The 22,364-nt window shown below is 36.5% G+C and overlaps 1 protein-coding gene across 11 annotated transcripts in view; it reads right to left on the reverse strand.

Annotated features, from left to right (window-relative positions):
- ATAD2B (ATPase family AAA domain containing 2B) overlaps positions 1-22,364 on the reverse strand; it is a 249,155-nt gene that overhangs the window by 69,950 nt on the left and 156,841 nt on the right. For 6 of the 11 annotated variants that reach the window (XR_001738780.3, XM_047444799.1, XM_006712030.5 and 3 more), the window contains 5 exons: positions 17,588-17,710; positions 14,291-14,428; positions 9,500-10,183; positions 6,729-6,856; positions 6,261-6,389 (listed from right to left, as the gene is read on the reverse strand). Coding sequence is in view for 9 of the 11 variants with exons in the window: in XM_047444799.1 (XP_047300755.1) it covers positions 6,261-6,389; positions 6,729-6,856; positions 9,500-10,183; positions 14,291-14,428; positions 17,588-17,710 (1,202 nt within the window). In the remaining 2 variants the exon portion in view is untranslated. Of the gene's footprint in view, positions 1-745; positions 4,170-6,260; positions 6,390-6,728; positions 6,857-9,499; positions 10,184-14,290; positions 14,429-17,587; positions 17,711-22,364 lie in introns of those variants that run through there. The other 5 variants (NR_125717.2, NM_001242338.3, NM_017552.4 and 2 more) reach the window with 1 other exon arrangement.

Below are 22,364 nucleotides of genomic sequence, written 5' to 3' on the forward strand. Positions count from 1 at the left end.
AACTTCATCTCCAGAATCCAAAAAACTTGATTGAGCCTCAAATTATAAGCTTTTTATCTAAACATTCAGACAGTGTTAAAAATATGTTTTGCAGGTTTATTATTAACAATCTTTTGATACAGACAAAAGTTGAAATTATAGAATCTGAAAAATCAGGCAAAACAAAGTCTTAACTAAAATCCATCTTTTTTACTGTGATTCAAAAAACAAAAGTAAGAATTTATATTGAGGAAGATCAGTGTACTACAGGAACATGAAAAGGTGTCTCAAGGCACACAGGAAAAATAGGTATTCTGAAGCCAAGAACATTCTACTCACTTGAAGTAAGCCCTTCAAAACTCTGGTATGAAATCTCTGTCCATATTATGTGCTATACTGTACAAAGTATACTGATAACAACCCGATAAAAAGGAAAACATTTTAAACTAATGAACCATATGACCTGATCATATGTTATCGTATAGTCTTCCAGCTAGAAAAACAAATCTCAGAAGTAATCCATTTGCTTCTATACAACATATTTTAGACAATCTTCAACTAAAACTAAAACCACGCTTTCTCAACATAAAAAGCTTTCAGCTAAAAAATCGTGAGGTGTACTTAAAATCTAAAAGGAACATATAACACGACTTTTTGGGTGCTTAATAACCAGCAATATGCCTCTCTCTAAAACAGTCTAAATCAGCTAGAAAAGTAGCACTGCATTTGTAGCCAACAGTGATCATAATTAAGCTAAAGAAAGACATGTTTTTCTTGTCATCTTTATTCAAGTATTTCACAGCAGTTATATTACAAATTACAGTAAATGTTCAAATTCCAGAATTCAAAAATTAAATAATTTACTTCAACTAATGTCAAATGAAGTCAAATGCAAAACATCAATTTAACACAATTCTAAATTAAAACTACAAACCCAAAATAGACCATAGTTGATGAAGTCTACTTAAACTACAAAGTAGACATACATGACTGAAACCAAATTGGACTCCCAAAGTCTAAGTAACCAGATGTACAGAATACAAAAGATGCAGGTACAAGCCCAAATTCAAGCTTACAATGTGATTACAAATAATAATTATAATAACAATGGCATTCAGCTACGGGACCTGACACTGAAGATACCTACTGAATAGCACCATAGCTGAACCAACTTAATCAAAAAAGGGAAGAAATTACCCACTCCCTAAAAATAAAATCCAGTAAACCTACAAATACATTGGCTTATGAGAAAAATCAAGTCATGAAACAACATTAAAAAAAAAAAATCACAGGTGAGATTCAAGCTCGAAAACACAATTAACTCCACAGCCATCAGTTTCAACCCTAGTGCGGTTCCATCATCTTCAAAAAGCCCCCAGGGTCCCCACAGCTGAGCATGAATTATTGCTGAGCTATGCTGTGATACATATTTTACTCATCTGAGAGCAAGGTTTTACATAGGAGCTTATCTTTATAATGCTCACAATAGGAAATAAGAACAGAGGTCAATTTGTACATATTTTTGCCAATGCTATACAGCAAAAATGAAAAACTTACAGAAAGGTAAACAAAATTGAGTCCACTTTTTTAATTTCACAAGCTGCTTTAAACTATAGAACCACCAGATATCTGTAAAATAAGCAAAACTGGTAAGTGTGTTTTTTTAATTGAGGGAAGGAGGGCCAGAGGAGTTGGTACAATTTCAGCTCATTGTTCTCCCCTTGGCATTAGATTGACTTTCTCTTTAAGACCTAAACTGTTCAAAGTGGCAGTTCCTATACTGAGGTTGCCTCCAATTTCTCCATCTACATTACGGTTAAAAAAACAAACAAACAAAAGCAACTTGATCTTTTGGAAGCATTTTAATGCTGAAAATAAATACATTTCCCTTTTCAAACTCACTGATGGCTAAAATCTTAATTAATTGTACAAATTTAGTAACCTACTAAGAAACATGTGCATTTTTTTTTCCTTTCACAAGTGCTGCTGTTACTTGAAAAGAATGCTTCTGAATTAGAATAACTGGAATAAATATTTAAAAAAAAATAGTGCAGCAAGAACCTGAGACTTGCAAAAAACCCTTTTACCAGAAACTTGCTACAAAAAATCTGCTACATCTTATTTCATCAAATCTTTAAATTCTGTAACAATTTCCATCAAAATACAAAATGCTAATGTATTAGACAATAAAATAGTTTGAATCGGTATGATGGTAATAAATACTAAAGAAAGCATGAAAATCCTCCCAATAATCAAATTAGAGGTTTCAAATAACCTCCCCTTTAAAATGGTTCATCGTTAATCGCACTTGCCCACCTTAAAAATACAGTGTGTCTACATGGGTAGCATCTTGACTTGTATGACTAACTGGATATTACAGAAACTTCACAGACTAGGTACAAAGAAAACACGTGGCATTTAAAAAAAAATTAAGCTAGAATTAGAAGGCGTTAGATGTAAATGTAAATGCAAAGAAGCACTTTGGATTACTGCAGTAGGCTATGGCCAAAGTATGCTTTCTGCACACTACAAAGAGCCAAAGACAAGGAGACAAGTACCTTAGCTTCAGGATGTAAACGGTGGCAAAGTGATTACAAGACTCTGTAAACACTGTTGGTAACTAAAATACAAAAAGCTGAGGTAGCTCAGAATCTCTGCAGTAGTCCAAGACCATTCGCCCTAATTAAAACCCAAACTACATGTGTTGCATATATTGGAAAGACACACCTGCAGCTAACGGCTACAATGAATGAAGATACCAAGCCAACTTGCTGGCAAAATTTTCTTTTTGTTTAAAAATCATCTGATAAAAAAAGTCACTGCATCCTTTGCCTCATTGCAACTGCCTAGACTGTGTCTCCAAATTTGTAGAAAGTTTTTGTAAAACTAGTAACCCATAATTAATTTCAGATACATACAATTCACAGAAATCACTCAACAAGATTCAAAATGGTTTCCAATCAAAAAGAAGAGTTGTGAAGGTAAGCTTAGGAGATGGGATTTAAACATTAATACTGTTATTCAAGGACCATACCAGAGCTCGTTTGCAATTAAGCATACAGAAAATGAATTTTATGGAGCTTCTGATGAATTCCTCTCTTTTCTGTCCATTTGGCAAGTCCTGGCTTTAAAACAAAACAACAATTTACTACATATGAAAACCATTTTTCTCTGGGAACTCAAACATGAATAACTATTAAATTGCCACTGACAGAAGAAAAAATGGCCACTATCTATTTATTTTCTAGTCATCATTGTTGGCAATACCAAAACGTGTGCAGTTTTGTTTTTTGTTTTTTTGTGTGTGGACTGTGTATTATTCTTTGTTGTTATTCATGTTTCTTAAACCAAAACAGACCTTACAAGAAAACTTACCATTTTAGTATATTATGTGGCTTACTGGGTGTCTTGATTGAGCTTTGAGAATAAGACAGGCATTTCATACCCAAACACTGGTTGTCTCTTAATGACATAGAGTATCAAAACTTATTTTCAAGGTTGTGACCAAAGAAATATTTCTAATTTATTTGCTTCAAACAGCCCATCCTTTTAGCCTTATCTTCCTCAAATGAATAAAAAGGCACGTTAAAGGCAGTTCTAAAGAGCCTGACCTAATTTCATCCAGTTTCTTCAGCTTCCCACCAGAACAGACCATAGCCAACTCTAAAACAGGTTTCAGTCCATTACCCAGATGGGGGAAAAATATGATTAAAGGGGTAAAATGGAGGAAAAAAAAATAACAAGTTGCCCACTGTTTAAACAATTCAACACAGTTAGAACTGCCCCCATCCAGTTTCCTCCTGTTTGCTGGTCTGCTCCCTAAGAGAGGAGTCTCCAAAAGAGAGTGCACAAAAAGAGGAGCAGAAGCGAGAGCAGTTTCTGTAGCACCAAAATCTCCAAGCTGTGGGGTTGTATTTTTTATTTGTGGAAAATACAACATGTTTCTGAAGTTCTGTTTGGTTCTTGTAGGCTGGTTGGTTTCAGGTACCTGAGACAATAGCACCAAATTCAACAGAGAGAAAGAATGAGTGAGAGAGCACTTTACACCAAGGCTCTGCACATAATTGGTGCAATTTGAAATTGAATGGCTCAGAAGACTGCTCTGTGAGGAGCAGATTGGAGAGGATAAACCACTCATCTTGAAAAGTTCATAGGAATGTCTCAAACATATGAACTGTTCTTTCCATCTCCTATAAAAGGAAAAAAAATGCATGTTATCTATTAAGGGAAAGACAAAAGTGTTCCTCATTACGGAAGAATTCACTTTAAATTTTTAGGGAATGAATTTGAGATACAGGTTAAACTTTGAATATTTTCCTGATTATAATACCATAGGTAATTAAGACTATCTCCCCTAGATACTTCCAAGTACCTCCTATTTTATATTTAGGCCAATAAGGATGATGATGATGGTCACACTCAACAAATAACTAACTTATTATGCCAGTAATATCAGTATGAGGTATGATATGAGTAATATGAATATAAGGATGATGATAGCAACACTTAATGAGTAAGTTATTATGCCAGATATTTACTAAGAGATTTCTATATATAAAATACATAAATATAAGTAAATATTTATATTTATATGTATGCATATATATATAATTTATATATATAGTTTTAACTCCCATAACATTGAAGATTGAACAAACGTATTACTATCAGGTCCATTTTACAGATAAAGAAACTGAGGCACAGAGGGGATAAATAATTTGACAGCTAACAGGTGGCAGTCAGGATTTGAATACAGGCAGCCTCACTCCAGAGACTGAGCCCTTCCTTCCTCATTATATTTCACTAACTCCCAAAGCAAAATGAATGCATTCAGTATAGTGAAACTTATGCCAAAAAGCAGAATGCATTGTGTTCCCACTTCTATTCACTCCAACCAGAGCTGAAAAGACAGGGTTAAAAAAGAGCCAGAATGAGTGGCTTCCATCACTACCACCATGAAAGCCACTCACTGCTGATTCTGTTATCAATCCCTTCCCTCCCTAAACTAGGCCTCTAGATTATTAGGATTCCACACTGAGATGTTTCACTGGTGAGGAGTATTTAATGCATTCAAGCTAATAAAACTGCAACCATATGAACAAAGAAGTTCTAGAATTAAAAAAAATGTGAATAACTCTACCCCGCACATTTTATTCAGGTGGGCAAATGTCAAATACATCTAAGACACTTGCATTTTTTCCTTCCCTTTAAACAGCTCCAAAGAAATTCTATTCTACATCTCTGCAAAACTAACAGGCTGTATTAACAGATCATCATCCGATCAACAAGTTCTTCCATGTGGCCAACAAAAATCACTCCTGCTAAATGTTTTATCATATATTGCCAAATAAGAAAAGAAAATTACACATGAAAAATAACTATATCCTTTACATATAAATCTTTAATATACTAAAAATATTCTTTGAGAGCAGAGACTTTGTCTTACTCATTTTTTGCATTCCAAACACCCAGCACAGCATCTGGCACTGCAGGTACTCAATAAACATTTAATAGATAGACCACCAGATAAACAAACTAACAGGCAAATCAACAAAGGGAGTTGAATTAAGTCATTTAGCCATTTTGTGGGTAGATGAGTGATTACATTTGCTCAGATGACCTGAAAAGGCAGAAGTGTGGTTTAATGATGGAAATTATATAAACAAAGATAGAAGCTCATATTTATACAGGAAGAATTTCCCTTGGTTTAGAGTTGTCTAGAAAGGGAATGTCTCATCTCTAAAAGTATCTCAGCAAAAGGACAGTCGCTCCTTCATATGGCTAATTTATAGGACTAGATTTGACCAAAATAAGATGACTTTTGAGTTATCTTCCAACCATTAATGGCAAATAGGTCTCACTACCCATGCCAACGCCTTTATATCAGCAGTGGCTACCTAGGAAGCAGTGATAAGGAGTGTGGGGCCATGACCACATCCGACAAGCCCAAGTGACAGGCTCAATTGGCACGTCAGTTATAAGCAAGTAGGGAGAGAATTGTGACATACTATTTCTGTATATTTACCACCCTAGAACCATGGATTTCTGTGTTTTGACAAAAAAAAGGAACCCCAGATTACTTCTTTCCAGAGACAAAATGGTACAGAAAGGCTTTATTCTTCAAACTGTAACTCTTAATGATTTTTGTCTTAAATCTTCAAAACATTCTTCAGCTACTTGGTAAAAGACATAGATGTAGGCAAAATAACTTTTTTTCCTCTTTTCTTTGGAACAAGTAAAATCAAGTATTTGTTTATTCTACAGATAAACTAAACACTTACCTCTACAAGTTGTGATTTGTCATAATCTTTACGATGACGGTAGATACACTGACTAAGAAGAGAATATAATCTCTCAAGCTGATCAACTGCCAGATTGTTGCTTTTATCCACCAACAAATCAAGCAATTTCTAAGAAAAAACAGAAAAGAATAAAATGTAATTTGATTTCACTGGTCAAACTGAAATTGTATATTCAAATGGCTAGTCAATAAACACCATAAAGCGAGGATGTAACAGTGAACATGAAATTAAAAGATTTGAGGGCTTAAAATCATTCCCTTAGAATATCTTGGACTACTCCCGTATCTTTCAACTCCTTAAAATACACATAACTCTTTTTTACTAGGAGCTCTGAGGCATTTATATTTCAGGGTTAAAGCAGGAAAACTACTTTTACTCAACTGCCTACAAACACATTCAAATCTCCGTCCATTCATTTAAAACTTGACTGGGAATAGCTAAGCTTACCTTCAATCTCTCACGATCAACTATAAGAGGAGGCACAGGCTCAGATGGCTCTTCTGGAACCAGTTCCAGGCTTGTCGTTTTTGCCTGCTCTAAAATTAATTTACGGTATTTCTTTACTTTAGAAGCACCTATAATTGAGACAAAAAAATACACTGCAGCAAGTAAAAGTTAAGAAAAACCAGTCTTAAGCAGTTATAAATTCTTTTACCTACCACACAAATCCCTTTTGGAATGAGGAAGGGTGTATTCTTAAGTGATTTTTTTTAAAGCAACCCAATGTGGTAGATTTTTTATTGGTAAGACTAAGTAACCCAAATTAAAGAAAACTAAACTACAACTTAAAAAGCCAAGTCATACTAAAGTATCACCTAATAAGCATATCCACTAAAAGGAAGATAAAAGCAATCTTCACCTCTAAGCACTGACTTAACAAACAGCCTTCACTCTATGACAGCTACCATTTTACAACTGGGAGCTTTCAGAACCACAAGAAGGGAAGCAACCTAGAAAAGCAGATACTAACAAAAGTGGGGCCCACCTGTCTACACATTTGCCTCCCAACCTAAAACATTCCCTTCAGCATTGCCTGAAATTTCTTGTCTGTTACACTGCCTAAAATTCTATTAGAAATTGATTCAGAGTTTAACATTTTTTTCTTAAAAATATAAACCCATTAAAAGTGTAATAGGGCTGGTGTTCTTTCCTACCTTAGAGTAAATTAGTGTAATCTAATTACTTTCCTCCTCACATTTTGCTGAAACCAGCCACACTAAACAAACAGAAATTTTAAGGTGGCTAAGCATAATTTCACGAACCCAGGCATTCTGAGGGGTACAAAGGGTGGGTAGACCATGGAGCCCTGTGCTCCCCTAAGTAGGACTACTCTTAAGAGGAGGATGAGTGAGGGGAAGGAACACAAAGACAAACTTGGACTGTTTCAGAATTTCATACAGGATGTGGCCCATGTCAGGGACACTAAGGAGAACATATTTATTAAGTGTCTCAATGCAGGGACCCGCCTCCATCCTACATTAGTCCTCTTATTTCTTACTCCCAAGTCTTTAAACTCATCCTCCTTCTCAATGCCTGCTTTATAAAACAAACAGCAAACGAACCAAAGTATTGCCTTCAAAAACATGTATCATGATATATCAGAGAAATTTTATATTTCAGGCTGCTTTTAATGTGAAAGACTTCATAGTTCAATTACCATATGCTAGGAGTTTTGTTAAAATCATATTGATCCTCATTACTACATCCATGGACTTCTAGAGGCCTGAAAACTCAGATTAGGATACTGTCCTGATAATTCCAAATGAAAGCTTCAGGTCAAACTTTTACACAACAATTATCTTTATAGTGTTTAGATCACCAACTGAACACAATATTAATTTAAGCCTTTTTCAGCACGCTTATGGAAATCTCATAGAAATCAGCATTAAAATAGACTCCTCTATCCCCACCCATTCGGCCTCATACCAGATTCCTTCTCCACTTTTCCCATGCTGTTATATTCATTACTTAACCCTAGCTTTAACATATTTTTAAAGTTCTGTCTATCTGATAGCCCAGAATGAATACTGCTCTGAAAACTATTTTAGTATTAAATATTGAAGAATAAGACAAATGTTTAACAGGTAGCATTTAAGAACAGTAAATTTCTCTTTATCCATTAAAGGAATTCTTAGACTTTGAATAATATTTTCCTGCTTCCTAACTCTGCTAAAGGACTTAAAATACTGGCAGAAAAAAAAAAAATTTTCCCACATAGCCCAAATCCCAGGCTGAAGCTGTGTTCTCCACTCCACACAATTTAGAGAAAATAATATAATTTTAGGATAGCCTCCTATAAGAGTACCTATCCAGGAAGGAAATGTATATTGAGCAGGGTAGATATCAACTCATCCCAGACCCTGCTATGGGCTAAAGAATAATGATAAAGACAGGCTAGAAACCCTTAACTCCCTCTTTCTGCTGCTTCTTAAATGAATCATGTAGCCATAAGAAGTCAGAAGCTGGGAGAGTACTCTGATTCCCTGAGAACAAGGTAAACTTGACAATGATTGCTCTGCTTCTTTCCCCCACTATTGGACTTATAAAGCAATGAAGGCTTTTAGACTGAACAGCCCTTGGATTCAATTAACAATGACTTCCTGGAATGAATATACCTTAGTATGTGCCAGTTACCACGAGAGGCAATTAAAATACACGACTTATTTAATCCTTGCAACACCATTCTGAAGTTGAATTTCCTAGATGAATAAATAGGCTTGGAGAGTGTAAATAATGAGCTGAAAGTCACATGATTATAATGAACAAGAGTGGTAATTTAATCTAGGTCTATATTACTCTTCCGAATATATCATACTGCTATTATCACTAAGTCTTCTCTGCCCACACCCAGCCCATGCCAATAATTCTTCTTGGAATTCCATCTTCTTAACACCTGTGGATTTACTCAGCTTTCAGTCATAAATCCCTGAGGCTAGGGGTGATAATCAGGCAGGAGGCAGAAGAGTAAGCGGCCAGTAAAGCAATGCACTCGAAACGATACACCCTCTGAAACTTAAAGCAAAATTTGGTGCATGCCTCTGTGTGTGTGTGTACGTGCACACATGTGTGCTTTTCTAGAGAATAGGATGAAAACTTTAACATATTCTCAGAGGGGTATAATTATTCATCAACTATTACTACTGGGAACCAGATAAAATACACAACGAATTAACTCTGGAGTTTAAACCTTCAGAAGATTTTTCAAATATTAGCTCTACCTTCTTTATCCAGTTCTGCATCTTTAACCTCCACATCAGAGCCAGGTTCTAACTTCTCATTATTGCTACATTCCAGTGCCTCTAGTTTCTCAAGATCATCTCCATGATTTTCAGTCGAAGTTTCTGGTTTTTCTTTTGACTGGTCCTCCAGAAGAATCTTTTGTTCAGAACTACATTTATCTCCACTATCACAGAAAGAAACTACTTCAAGCTTGCCATTCTGACATTCCAGAACTGGTATTCCTTCAAAACTGTCAGTGGAAGCCTCACCATTTAGACAATTTCCTTTAAGGAAAGTCTCTTTCCTGGAGGTCTGCTCCGGGTTTAAGGAACTGCTGCTGTTGACCAGTAGAGATTCATTTGAACTTTCCTCCTCAGTAGATGCAAAGTTCTCTTTTGTGCCTGCTCCATTGTTAAGCCTCTGCCCCTGGTCCAAGTCCATGATGTCACAGGATGATTCATCATTGGTCATAGATAAGTCTCCAGTCTCTTCTCCATTTTCCTCATGGCAGTCAGTGCTTACCTCAAACTCTCCATTCTCTAATAATTTCCTGTCCTCCGTATGGTTCTCATAGTCTGCAAATTTGGTGTCTTCTTCATCTTTTTTTAAATTATTAACTTTCCTTTTCTTAATAATTCCTTTACCCCACTGTGATCTCCGCCTTGATTTTCTCCGAACCCGAACTGTTTTACAAGGAAGGAAAAAAGATATGTAGAACTTGGAATGCAATACCAATTTTACATATGTTTATTAAACAGGACCCAAAAGAAAGTAAACCCATGCTGATGTAACACACAAAAACTACTTAGCTCTTGACATTCATGCTGACTAATCCTTGCAACCTACAAATGGAATGGATATGAAGTCAGGGATGAACTCTGCAGAATAAAACATTTTTTAATGTATTTCCTGTATGAGTTTATTCAGCACTAATCTTTTCTACTATCCTAGATCCTACTTTACTACTGTTCCTAATTTTCAACATCCAAAAGCCACGCATATAATATACACATTTAAAGAATGACCACATTACCAGGCTGCCAGAAAGTTTGGGGCCAAAGCCCTGGATTTCCACCAGGAAGGTGGATGTTTTACTAGCAAAAGGTAGCTCCTAAATCATGAAAGAAAATAAAGACATGATTCAATATAGCATAACAGAACAGTTAAGGGTATCCTCACAAAGAAACCTCTCCTTCCAGAAAAAGGAATCACCCAAAGTTAAGTATGACCATGGATAGATGCCTTATGAAGGTTATTTGGACAATTTGGTGAGCCAACTGTTAATCTCTTCTAGCACAAACAGTTCACCCAGCAGCATCAATTTCTTGCAAAGTTATTTGAGAATATGTAGGAAAACTAAGCCCTCTGCTATCAAGGCAACAACAACAACATAAACAAAACACTGAAAATAAATACTTGGTCACTTATGTGAAAAGGGAGGCCTACAAAAGTTGTAAGGACTATACTCTTAGATGCTAGAAACTATCATGAGCTTTATGAGTAGGCAGCTAGGGCCTCTAGGTATTAATGGACCCTGGAATTTTTAATTTCTCACATATGTATCAAATTGAGGTAGATGGTTAAGCAAGTCTACCTCATTGTCCCTTAAATAAACAAAAAGTTAACTTTTATAATTTGGGACACTTGCATAATACAGTTAAGTGTTCTTCAGAACACTTAAATACAAAAATTATTAAAGCAAACCACTTATGCTAGAGCTGAATCACTTCTGGTATCTAACCCCAAATTCTAAATACTAGTTTGTTGAAAGTATCAGAATAAAAATATTCATTTTTTCTGTGGTTATGAACATAATAATTTTAACTTAAAAAAAGACAATATATATGTTTAATACATCAAAGCTGAAAAGCTTCCTGGGCAAAGATATTTTTTAAAGAAAATATAAATATGAAATCACTAACTGTAGGCTGTTTAATCTGTAGTTTAAAAATTGCTTTATAGAGACAGAAAGGAATATGGTCTTTTAATGACAACCCTTGTTTCTTATATTCACACTGCTTAATATGAATTTAGAATCTATCAACAGTGTAGTGTATTTACATACTTATTTAATCCTTTCATCTTTAATTCCTGCTGCATCTCTGTAAATTCACAAGAAATAGATAAATTTAGTTATAAATATTACTCTTCTTTCTTACCTAAGAATATATCTCCTAAAGGTTTCTGAAATCATCTCCAAAATTCAGGTTATTGAGTCATTTGGCTCAACATGTATTTTTCCTTCAAAACTGTAATCCTGTTAGCACTAACTCTTCATTCTTTTCCCCTATTAATTTCTATTTATATAATTTAAAGTTACAGGGTAATTAGCATAGAGAAGAAAATTTCTGTATTAATCTACTGTTAAAATCTGGTACACAGGCTCAGGTGATGGGCATTTGTAAACATCCCATTAGCTATAAGAAAAACTAATCTAGTCCATATAAAAAATAAAAAGCATTCAGCTTGCTCTGACTCTGCAAGTTAGCGCTATTAGGCTTTTACTACCTGACAGGCCATTCCTGACACCATAACCTCTCTTATTCTGCAACCATGTAACTGAAAGTACAATAGGTTCCCTTTTTCTTTCCTAAGCCATGAAACTAGAGCAAAATGAAGCTGAACTCTGCTCAATCAGGAGTCACCTCAACTACCTGACATGCAGTACATAAGCAAAGGCTGGGAGCCCTGCTGAAGCAAGTTACTGCAGGATAGACCTGGCTAATACGGTAAGAGAAAATGGTCTTAATCTTTGGGAAGTAGGACTGGAGGTATTTTTCTCTTCCTTATATAATTATTTCTAATGGTTGGTATAATTTTGGCAAAATAAGAGAAACAGACCACATTAGCTCCACAAGAAGAGATTTTTGTTTTAGTCACTGATGTATCTTCACAGTACCTGGCATGTGGCAAGAGTATATATTAGTATTTGTGGACCTAATGCTTAATATACCATTTCCAGCTAGGCATGGTGGCTCACACCTGTACTTCCAGCACTTTGGGAGGCCGAGGCTGACGGATCACTTGAAGTCAGGAGTTCGAGACCTACCTGACCAACATGGTAAAACCCCATCTCTACTAAAAATACAAAAAAATGAGCCAGGTGTGCTGGCAGGCGCCTGTCGTCCCAGTAGCTTGGGAAGCTGAGGTGGGAGAATTGCTTGAACCTGAGGAGGCGGAGGTTGCAGCGAGCCAAGACTGAGCCACTGCACTCCAGCCTGGGCAACAGAGAGAGACTCTGTCTCAAGAAAAAAAAAAAAAATAAATAAATTTATATATATACACACACACACACACACACACACACACACATATACACACACACACACACATACACACACACACACACACACCACTTCCTTCATCGGGGTGCTCTGTGTGAAAAGTCCATTTAGAGACACGATCTTTAGAGTCAATTTTTATAGCATCACTGAGTTTGTTTCCAAAACTAAGGCCTTAGGAAAGCAACTACGCCTTAGGGACATTCAGATTTCTTATTTAAGTTAATGTAAAACAGAAAAATTATGGGTCGCATATGCCATCTACTGGTAAGAGAAAACAAAACTCATATTTGTAGATTCAAAAAGTTTTTAAAATATTTAAAGGCACTTAAAACTTCTTCAAGTGAATAGTCAATGTATTTTCATTCATAAATATTTGTAGCAGATGCATAGAATGTAAAGAATTTCAAAGTTTAAATTAGAGTACTACATTACACAATCCAAGTCATGATCTGAAATACAACTAGGCCAAATAGGCTTAATCAGTTTCACGGCATCATCGAGTCCTTTCTCAAACTTTCTCATATACAAATGCCACTTACCAAAAGGGGACAAGCTTTAAAAAGGTGGGTATAGTTTATTCATTCAAATTCAATGCCACTGGTGAAACAACATATTATAGCTAGCTTTACTGACAAAGTAGTTCAGGTTGAGTATCCAAAATCCAACACTTTTTGAGCACTGACATGTCGTTCAAAGTAACTGCTCGTTGGAGCATTTCAGATATCTGATTTTTGGATTAGGGATGCAGAACCAGTAAGTACAATGCAAATATTCCAAAATCCAAAAAAAATCCAAAATCCAAAACACTTCTGGGTCCCAAGCATTTTGGATAAGGGATACTTAACCTGGATTATCACCTTTATACCAGAAAAACAGCATGTATCTTCCAAGGAAGGCTATCTTTAGTGAAACAGAAGAACTCTATTAGAAAGACGCAGTGTTTATTAACATTTGACTTTTGGAAATGTTATAGATCAACATGAATGAGTACAAAAAAACTCCCAATTTTCCCTTTAAATACATCTCACAAAAACTACAAAGAAAAGAAGGCTGTGCCAATTTTTCAAACTGAACACAAAATAGTCTCTCAGAAAAATCAACTTCCTGTTGCCAGATCAGACACACCCACATGCGGGAGTGTCCATTTCCCACCCTAAAGAGAACATCCTGCATAGTGTACAAGGAGTGGAGGATAAGGACAGGGGCATATAAAAATTCTACTGGCTCCACATGGCTATCCAAAAACCAAAGTTTAAAACTGAAAATATTCAAGCCTAGTTCAATTGTCATAGCAAATAATATTGAATAGGGATAGAAAATAACAAATAAAGTTAAAGAAATATATTTCTGATTCAGCATTTACCTCACAAGCTCTTCTTCACCTCTGAAAAGAGATTAAAAGAGCTATGGGAAAAGAGCGGCACTTTGTTTTGTACCCAATTCCTAACATATCTACATCATTCTCAGTTGTTCTCACTACTGGATAACATGAGCTGAAATACTCACATGCACATTTATTTGCAGAGTTGTGCCACACATCCATTGGATTTCTTTGTTTGTGCCGAAATGCCTCTTCGACTCTAGTTTCTGTCTTCCGAGCTCCAGTACTATGAGGATTTATTTGTTCTGATGTTACTGATAAGCCTGCAAGCAGAAGATAAGCAATACCTCTTTAAATATTCCCAGCTACATAAACCAAAAGGTTTTTAAAAAAATCTCAAATACAAAACTGAGTTTTAAAGTCATTAATTATACTAGGGCAGTTTGCAGTTCCAATGAAAGCAGTGTCTTTTGTTTTAAGATGGGTAAGAAACTTAGATATAAAATCATAAAAATAAAACAATCTGGCAGGCCATGTTTACACTTAATCCCCAAAGGGGCCCTATTTTTATTCATTTTAATTCACAAAGAGGCACATTTTACATTATTATGACTGTGGAACAATAAGATTATATATTATCCAAAAATAATGACCTCTGCCATCTTAGAATGTACAACAGTCTACTGGGCTACTAAACCCCATTCCCGTGAACTGTTTCAAAATGCTATTTGCTTCCTGTCGCACCACACTGCAGTCAGTTTGGTTGTCCTGCATTATATTCCTAAGACTAATCATTCTATCTTAATTTTCTTCACTAGAGATTTATTTCTTCTATGTGGTCCTTAAGTTGGTTTTTCTCCAGGTTCTCTCTGTAACCACTTTTCTTCTTACTCTAATCTACACATTCCCCAGCGAAGTATCATTGTGTTCAGGTTCAATTACTATTATATAATAATTCTCAAATCTGTATCTTTAGCCCAAACATCTCTGATCCAGATATACAACTTCTGATCCATATATACAACTCCTTACTTCATATCTCCAACTGAATTTCCTAAAGATAGATCAAATTAAAGATAACTGGTTTATCTTTCCCTACAAAACAAAACAGTTTGTTCTTATAGATTCCCTATCTAGATTGGGAGTATTAGTATCTACTAAGTCACTCAACCAGTAATATGGCAGCCAGTTTTTATTCTTCCTTCACTTCACAGTGCTCTCCATCCCTGCGGCTACATCTCACTTATATTAATCTCTTCTAACTCCCTTCCTACTTCATTAATTAAAACCCTGGACTACTCCAACAGGTTTTTGTTCCCCAACAGCTTTACTGAGATACAATTTATATAACATAAAAATCACCTGTTTTAAGTGTACAATAAATAGTTTTTAGTAGATGTATAGAATTGTAAAATCACCACAGCAATCCAATTTTGGATAACTGTCCCAGGCAATGACTACTCCACTTTTTGTCTCTATAGACTTGCCTTTTCTGGACATTTTATATAAAAGAAATCATACAATATGTAGTCTTCTGGGTCTGGCTATTTTTACTTAGCATAATGTTTTGGGGTTTTTTTTGTTGAGACAACATCTTGCTCTGTCACCCAGGGTGGACTGCAGTGGCATGAACATGGCTCACTGCAGCCTCAACCTTCTGGGCTCAAGCAATCCTCCCAACTCGGCCTTCCAAATGGCTGGGATCACAAGTGTACACCACCACGCCTAGCTAATATTTCTCACTTTTTTGTAGAGATGGTATCTTGCCATGTTGCCCAGGCTGGTCTCAAACTCCTGGGCTCAAGCGATCCTCCAACCTCTGCCACCCAAAATGCTGGGATTACAGGCGTGAGCCACCATGTTCAGCCAGCATGTTTTTGAAGTTCGTCCATGTTGTACTGTGTAACAGTACTTTGTTCCCTTTTATTACTAAGTAGTATGCGCTTGTATGGGTATCCTATGTTTTCTTTACCAATTCACCAGCTGACAGACATCTGGGTTGTTTCCAGTTTGTGGTTATTATAAACAATGCTCCTATGAACATACAAATGTTTATGTGGACATATATTTTCATTTTTCTTGGGTAGATTCCTAAGAGTAGAATCACTGGGTCATACAGTAAATCCATGTTTAATTTTTTAGAAATTGCCAAACCATTTTCAAATGGGCTCCAACAGCTTTTAAACTGATCTTTCATCTTCCTACCCTGGCACATTGAAACCATGTTACTTCTTCCCGCCAAGGCAATTCGACCAATTCATTTCACTGCTTAAAATCCTTCAATGATTTCTATTGCCTATGGCTATCAAACTTTAGTGTACATAAAAACTCTTGGATAGTTTGTTCAAATAAAGATTTCTTGGCCTTAATATTCTCAGAGAATCTAATTCATAGGTCTAAGCTGAAGTGGGTAATAGGCAGACATTTTTGAAAACACTGATCTACAAGATAAATCACAAGCTCCTTAGCATGGCATTGATTTACTCAAATATTTACCGAAAACCTGTTTTATACCAGATGGGGTTCTAGGGACTGGAGCAGAGATATAAACAAGACATTCAAAGTGCTGATATCCTAAATAAGGAGGACACGATCAAAAAACAAATAATATAATGCCAAATGCTACCAAAGCCTCTATCAGATTAGGTGGTCAGGGAAGAGCTCTCTAAAAAGGTAGAAGAAAAGTTTCTTCATAATTTTTGTGTCCTAGACCCCGCACCTCTTGAGCCCTATTTCCAGCATTCTGTATTTCTTTAGCAATACCAGTTTAACACACCTCTGTGCCTTTACATATGCTATTGTTTTCTCTGTGTGCAATACACCTCCTCCTCCTCTATCACTGCCTCCCTAGTCCATTAGAGAGAACACTTCTATATTCACTCCTTACTCTGATCAAAATGCTGGGTTCCCTACTGGGAGGTCTCATCTCTGTGCTCTGAACATGCTTCAACCAGTGCATACACCACACTGTACTTGATTGGTTTTACATTTCTCTCTCTCCTACTAAAATGTGAGTTCCTCAAGGACAAGATTATAAACTGAATTGACAAACCACAATTGCTAATTCTGTGTTTCTAATAACAAAATTGCATATAAATTTCACTAGGGTGGGAAAAACAGTATACCTAAACATGTTTTTAAAGTACCAGAAAGTAAACTGATGAAAAATAAAACCTTTTCATATCTAATATCTAAATCCATTTAGAAATCAATTCTTAAAAAAGATATACTCCTACAAAACAAATTTCAATAAGAAACACTTTATTTCTGTAATACACACTATCACACTAAAACTTTCACAGTAGGTAAAGTTGTAAAATATCTTTGAGAATTTACATAACACATTAGTATCAGAAATTAAATAAATACATTAAATACATTACTTTCATAATACCAGCAATCCTAAAGAAACAGCGTTCAAGTACTCTTGGCCTGAACAGAGCACACTAGGCTTCAGTACCAAGTTTATTTCTACAACTTACCTCTTTTTATTCTTGCTTCCTTAATTTCCTCACAAAGTTTATTAAATTCTGGATCTAATTCAGCTGCAATGATAGCATGTGCAGTGTCCTTCAGGGTACAAGCCCTGTGCCTAATTATTTTATCTGTTAAAAAAGTTGGTATATATTTATTATAGAAACAAATAAAATAACATTAACAAAGGACATCTTAAAAAGTAAAAGAATACAAACAAAATTATAAAAAGCATTGCTAGGTGAGAAAAAGTTTATTTAAAGTATGGGTAAAAAAATAAATATACTAAGCTACTCAGTCAAGTTAGTAATTCTCTGAAAATTATACTTTAAGAACCTCAAAGGACTAAACCTATTACCATTTCTGAAGCAGTCTGGAGAATTACAAGAAAAAGATACATGGTTTCAAATTTCTGAAAACAGAAATATGTGATTTTCAGTAAAAATTTAAAAAGTATTTAGAGGATATTCACCAAATGCCCAGCCCCAGAGTTGTCAGAGATTAATATTAGGAATTCAAAAAAATCTTAAATTTCTCCTAAGTTGACATTGGTCAAAACTATGCTAAAGAATACAATATATTTTAAAGGTGACTTATTTTTTTTTAAATGTGACAAAAACAGAGAAATACAGAAAGACTTTCTAAGCTAAAGGGCACAAGATGGTGTATACATTGTAGGTAGATCCAGGAGAGAAGCATAAACATGGTTCCAGGTAAACTATGCCTAAAAATGGTACTAAAAGAGGAGCCTCTGCTTCACACTAATCCAGAAGTTCCCATTCATAAACAATACAATATAAACAGTGCCCCCTAGATCTGTGCAACTCAGAAATATGAAAAGGCAAGTAATATATCAAGGTAACTAATATTCTAACAGTATCAAGAGCAAGAATCCAGAGTTGCAAAACAACATTTGCTTTTTCCTCTCTAGTAAGGGCAAACAGTATAGACAAAGTTACAGAGACACTTTATAACTTTTCTGATTTGAAAGTTATTATGGCTCATTGTGGTAATCTTACAAAACCAAACATGCACCACTCAAAGGCACCACTGATATTTACTTCCAACACATTTTCTCTAAACATTCACTCAACAAATGTTGTCGACTGCACCAGGGAAAGCTGGATGGTGGCCACCCACAGCAGTGAACAAAACATACATGATATCAACTTTCAAGGACTTTTTCAGACCACTACAGGAACAAATCATCTCTCATACATCCAAATTAACACCTCCTCCCTCCAAAAAAGAAAAAACCCAAAAGCAAAACACCCTGAAAAACAGCTATGAAGAAAACCTACAGGGTACTGGTGTGGGTTCCAATTTAGATTGAGCAAGTCAGGAAGAAGACTCTCTGAAGAACAGGCATTTAAACTGACACTTGAAGCACAGACTGGAGTAGCTACTGAAAGAGTAAGGGGGGAAAAAAAAAAAAACAACTAGTGCAGGTTCAGAAAATACCATGTGAGAAAATCCTGCTGTAAAGAGTTTGGAGATTTCAAGAAACTGAAATGCAGCCAGTGTAGTGTTATGAGTTCTAAATTTCTTTTCAAAGAATCAATATGTCAGTATGTTCAATTCTTTGCCTTCTACTTTTAAACTTAACTTCCTCGTAAAGCAACCTTTTTCGATTACCTGCTCTACCCTGACTCATTCCAATTACCTGCTCCACCCTGACTCATTCCGATTACCTACTCCACCCTAACTCATTCCTATTACCTGCTCTGTCATAACCATTTTTCCCGCCAAAACACTTACCTCGTCATTCTCTTTAAATTAGCCAATCGGAATTAGTTTAGCCTGTGTGGTCTAACCCTAGCCAACAGGAGAAGGACACAGCAGTGGGGGGCCACATGCATCAGGGATAATAAACCCTTCCCCTCCCTTGTCCAAGTGGGCGCCCACCATTACTCCATCTGTAAGGGTGCACCCTTCTATAGAAAAACTTGCCTTGCTGAGAATTAAAAAGAAAATTTTATATTCAAGTGCTTTTTGAGGTACTGAAACTATTTATAACAGTAGTCAGAACATAATAAGCAAGAGGCAAAGAGAAACTGATCATATTGAAAGGATTTCAGATTGTATCCTAAGAGCAATGAAAATCATTGAAAAGATCTGCTGTGGTTGTTTTCTGATCACTGGATTGAGGGGAGTCAAGAATAACACCAGGGAGCATAGTCACTAGGCTTTATTTTAGTGAGAGAGGATGATGACTTGAACTGGGGTAATGGTGGTGGTGGTGGTGAAAGACAAGATTACAGATTTGAAATGTGCTCTCAATGACACAATTTGGTGATAAAGTAGATAAGAGGGTAACATAAATATCAAAGATGATTTCCTAGCTTCTTGCATAAAAAATGGGGAGACGGACATACTATTTATAAAGATGCAAAAACAAACAAAAAACAAACAAAAAAAAAAACAGAATAGAGAGGAAAGGAGGAAAAGAAGTTAGAGAGTAATCTCAAAGAGTTCAGCTTCAGGCATTTCAGTTTGGAGATGCCTAAAAAATATCCCAATGGAGATACCATGTAAGCACATGAATATGTGTCTCAACAATTCTCTTTATGAACAAAAACCACAATGATTCTGTAATCTGCATTATTAACATATTGTACTTCCCTAAGTTTAAAAATAGATCTATTGAAGCATAATAGACATATAATAAGTTGCTCATACTTAAAGTATACAATTTGATACATTTTGAGGTAAGTACACATCCATAACATTACCACAACAATAAAGATAATCAATGGGCCAGGGGAAGTGATCGTGCCCGTAGTCAAAGCACTTTGGGAGGGAAAGGTAGTAGGACTGCTTGAGCCCAGGAGTTTAAGACCAGCCTGGGCAACATGGCGAGCCACCGTGTCTCCACTCTGACTCATTCCCATTACCTGCTCCACCCTGTACAAAAAGTACAAAAATTAGGCAAGCATGGTGGTGCATGCCTGTGGTCCCAACTACTTGAGAAGCTGAAGCAGCAGGATCGCTTGAGCCCAAGGGAGTTGAGGCTGCAGTGAGCCATGTTCACACCACTGCACTCCAGCCTGAGCAACAAAGCAAGATCCTGTCTCCAAAAAAAAAAAAAGACAATGAGCATATCTATCATCACCAAAAGTTTCTTGTGACCCTTGATTTTCCTCCCTTCACCCTTCCTCACAGCCCTCTATTCCCAAGCAATGAAGGATCTGCTTTCTCTTGCTATAGATCAGTTTATATTTTCTAGAATTATATATACGAGTGGAATCACAAAGAATATTTTTAATCAGGATTCTTTCACTCAGCATAATTATTTAAGCATAAAAATAATTATTGGTCCCTATTTTTGCATGTATCTGTACTTCGTTATTTGTTAGTGCTGAATACTAATCCATTATATGGGTATAACACAATTTGTTTATCCATTCACATGCTGGTGGACATTAGTGATAATTCTGAGTTTTGGCTATTATAAACAAAGTCACTATAAACATTGATGAACAAACCTTTGTATGGAAATATACACGTTAATTTTCCTTGGGTTAATACTAAGGGGTGGAATGGCTAGGTCAAATGATAGGTACGGTTCTTCAGCAACCGCAGGGGATTGGTTCTAGGACCCCATCTCCCCTTGGATATCAAATCTCCAGATGCTTATATCTCTCATATAAAATGAGGTAGTGGCCGAGCACGGGGGCTCACGCCTGTAATCCCAGCACTTTGGGAGGCCAAGGTGGGTGGATCACGAGGTCAGGAGTTCAAGACCAGCCTGACCAACATGGTGAAACCCCATCTCTAATAAAAACACAAAAAAATTAGCCGGGCGTGGAGGCAGGCGCCTGTAATCCCAGCTACTCAGGAGGCTGAGGCAGAGAATTGCTTGAACCCAGGAGGCAGAGGTTGCAGTGAGCCGAGACAGCGCCACTGCACTCCAGCCTGGGTGACAGAGGAAGACAGCGTCTCTTTATTTATTTATAAATAAATAAATAAAATGAGGTAGTACAGTCAGCCCTTTGTATCCACAGGTTTCAAAGCACACATATGGAGGGATGACTATAATACATATGTTAAACATTCTAAGAAACTTCTAGACTGTTTTCCAAGTCAGCTGTTTCATTTTACATTCCTACCACAGTGCATCATAGTTCCTGTTACTCTACATCCTTGATTACATTTGATATGGTCTTTTCAGTTTTAGACGATTATTACAAGTGTTTAATGGTGTCTCACTGTGGGTTTTTTTTTTTTTTTTTTTTTGAGACAGGGTCTCATTCTGTCGCCCAGGCTGGAGTGCAGTGGCATAATCTGGGCTCACTGCATCCTCTGCCTCCTGAGTAGCTGGGATTACAGGTGTGTGCCACCCCACCCAGCTGATTTTTGTATATTTAGTAGAGACAGGGATTCACCATGTTGGCCAGGCTGGTCTCCAACTCCTGACCTCAGGTGATCCACCCACCTTGGCCTCCCAAAGTGCTAGGATTACAGGCGTGAGCAACTGTACCCGGCCTCACTGTGGTCTTAATTTGCATTTCACTAAAGATTAATGAGGTTGACCGGACACAGTAGCTCACATCTGTAATCCCAGCACTTTGGAAGGCCGAGGCGGGCGGGTAACCTGAGGTCAGGAGTTCGAGACCAGCCTGGCCAAAATGGTGAAACCCCATCTCTACTAAAAATACAAAAAAAAAAAATAGCTGGGCATGGTGGTGTGTGCCTACAATCTCAGCTACTCGGGAGGCTGAGGCAGGAGAATTGCTTAAACCCAGGAGGCGGAGGTTGCAATGAGCTGAGATCATGCCACTGCAC

Source organism: Homo sapiens, chromosome 2 (assembly GCF_000001405.40).
Source record: "Homo sapiens chromosome 2, GRCh38.p14 Primary Assembly".
Taxonomy (NCBI): Eukaryota; Metazoa; Chordata; class Mammalia; order Primates; family Hominidae; genus Homo; species Homo sapiens.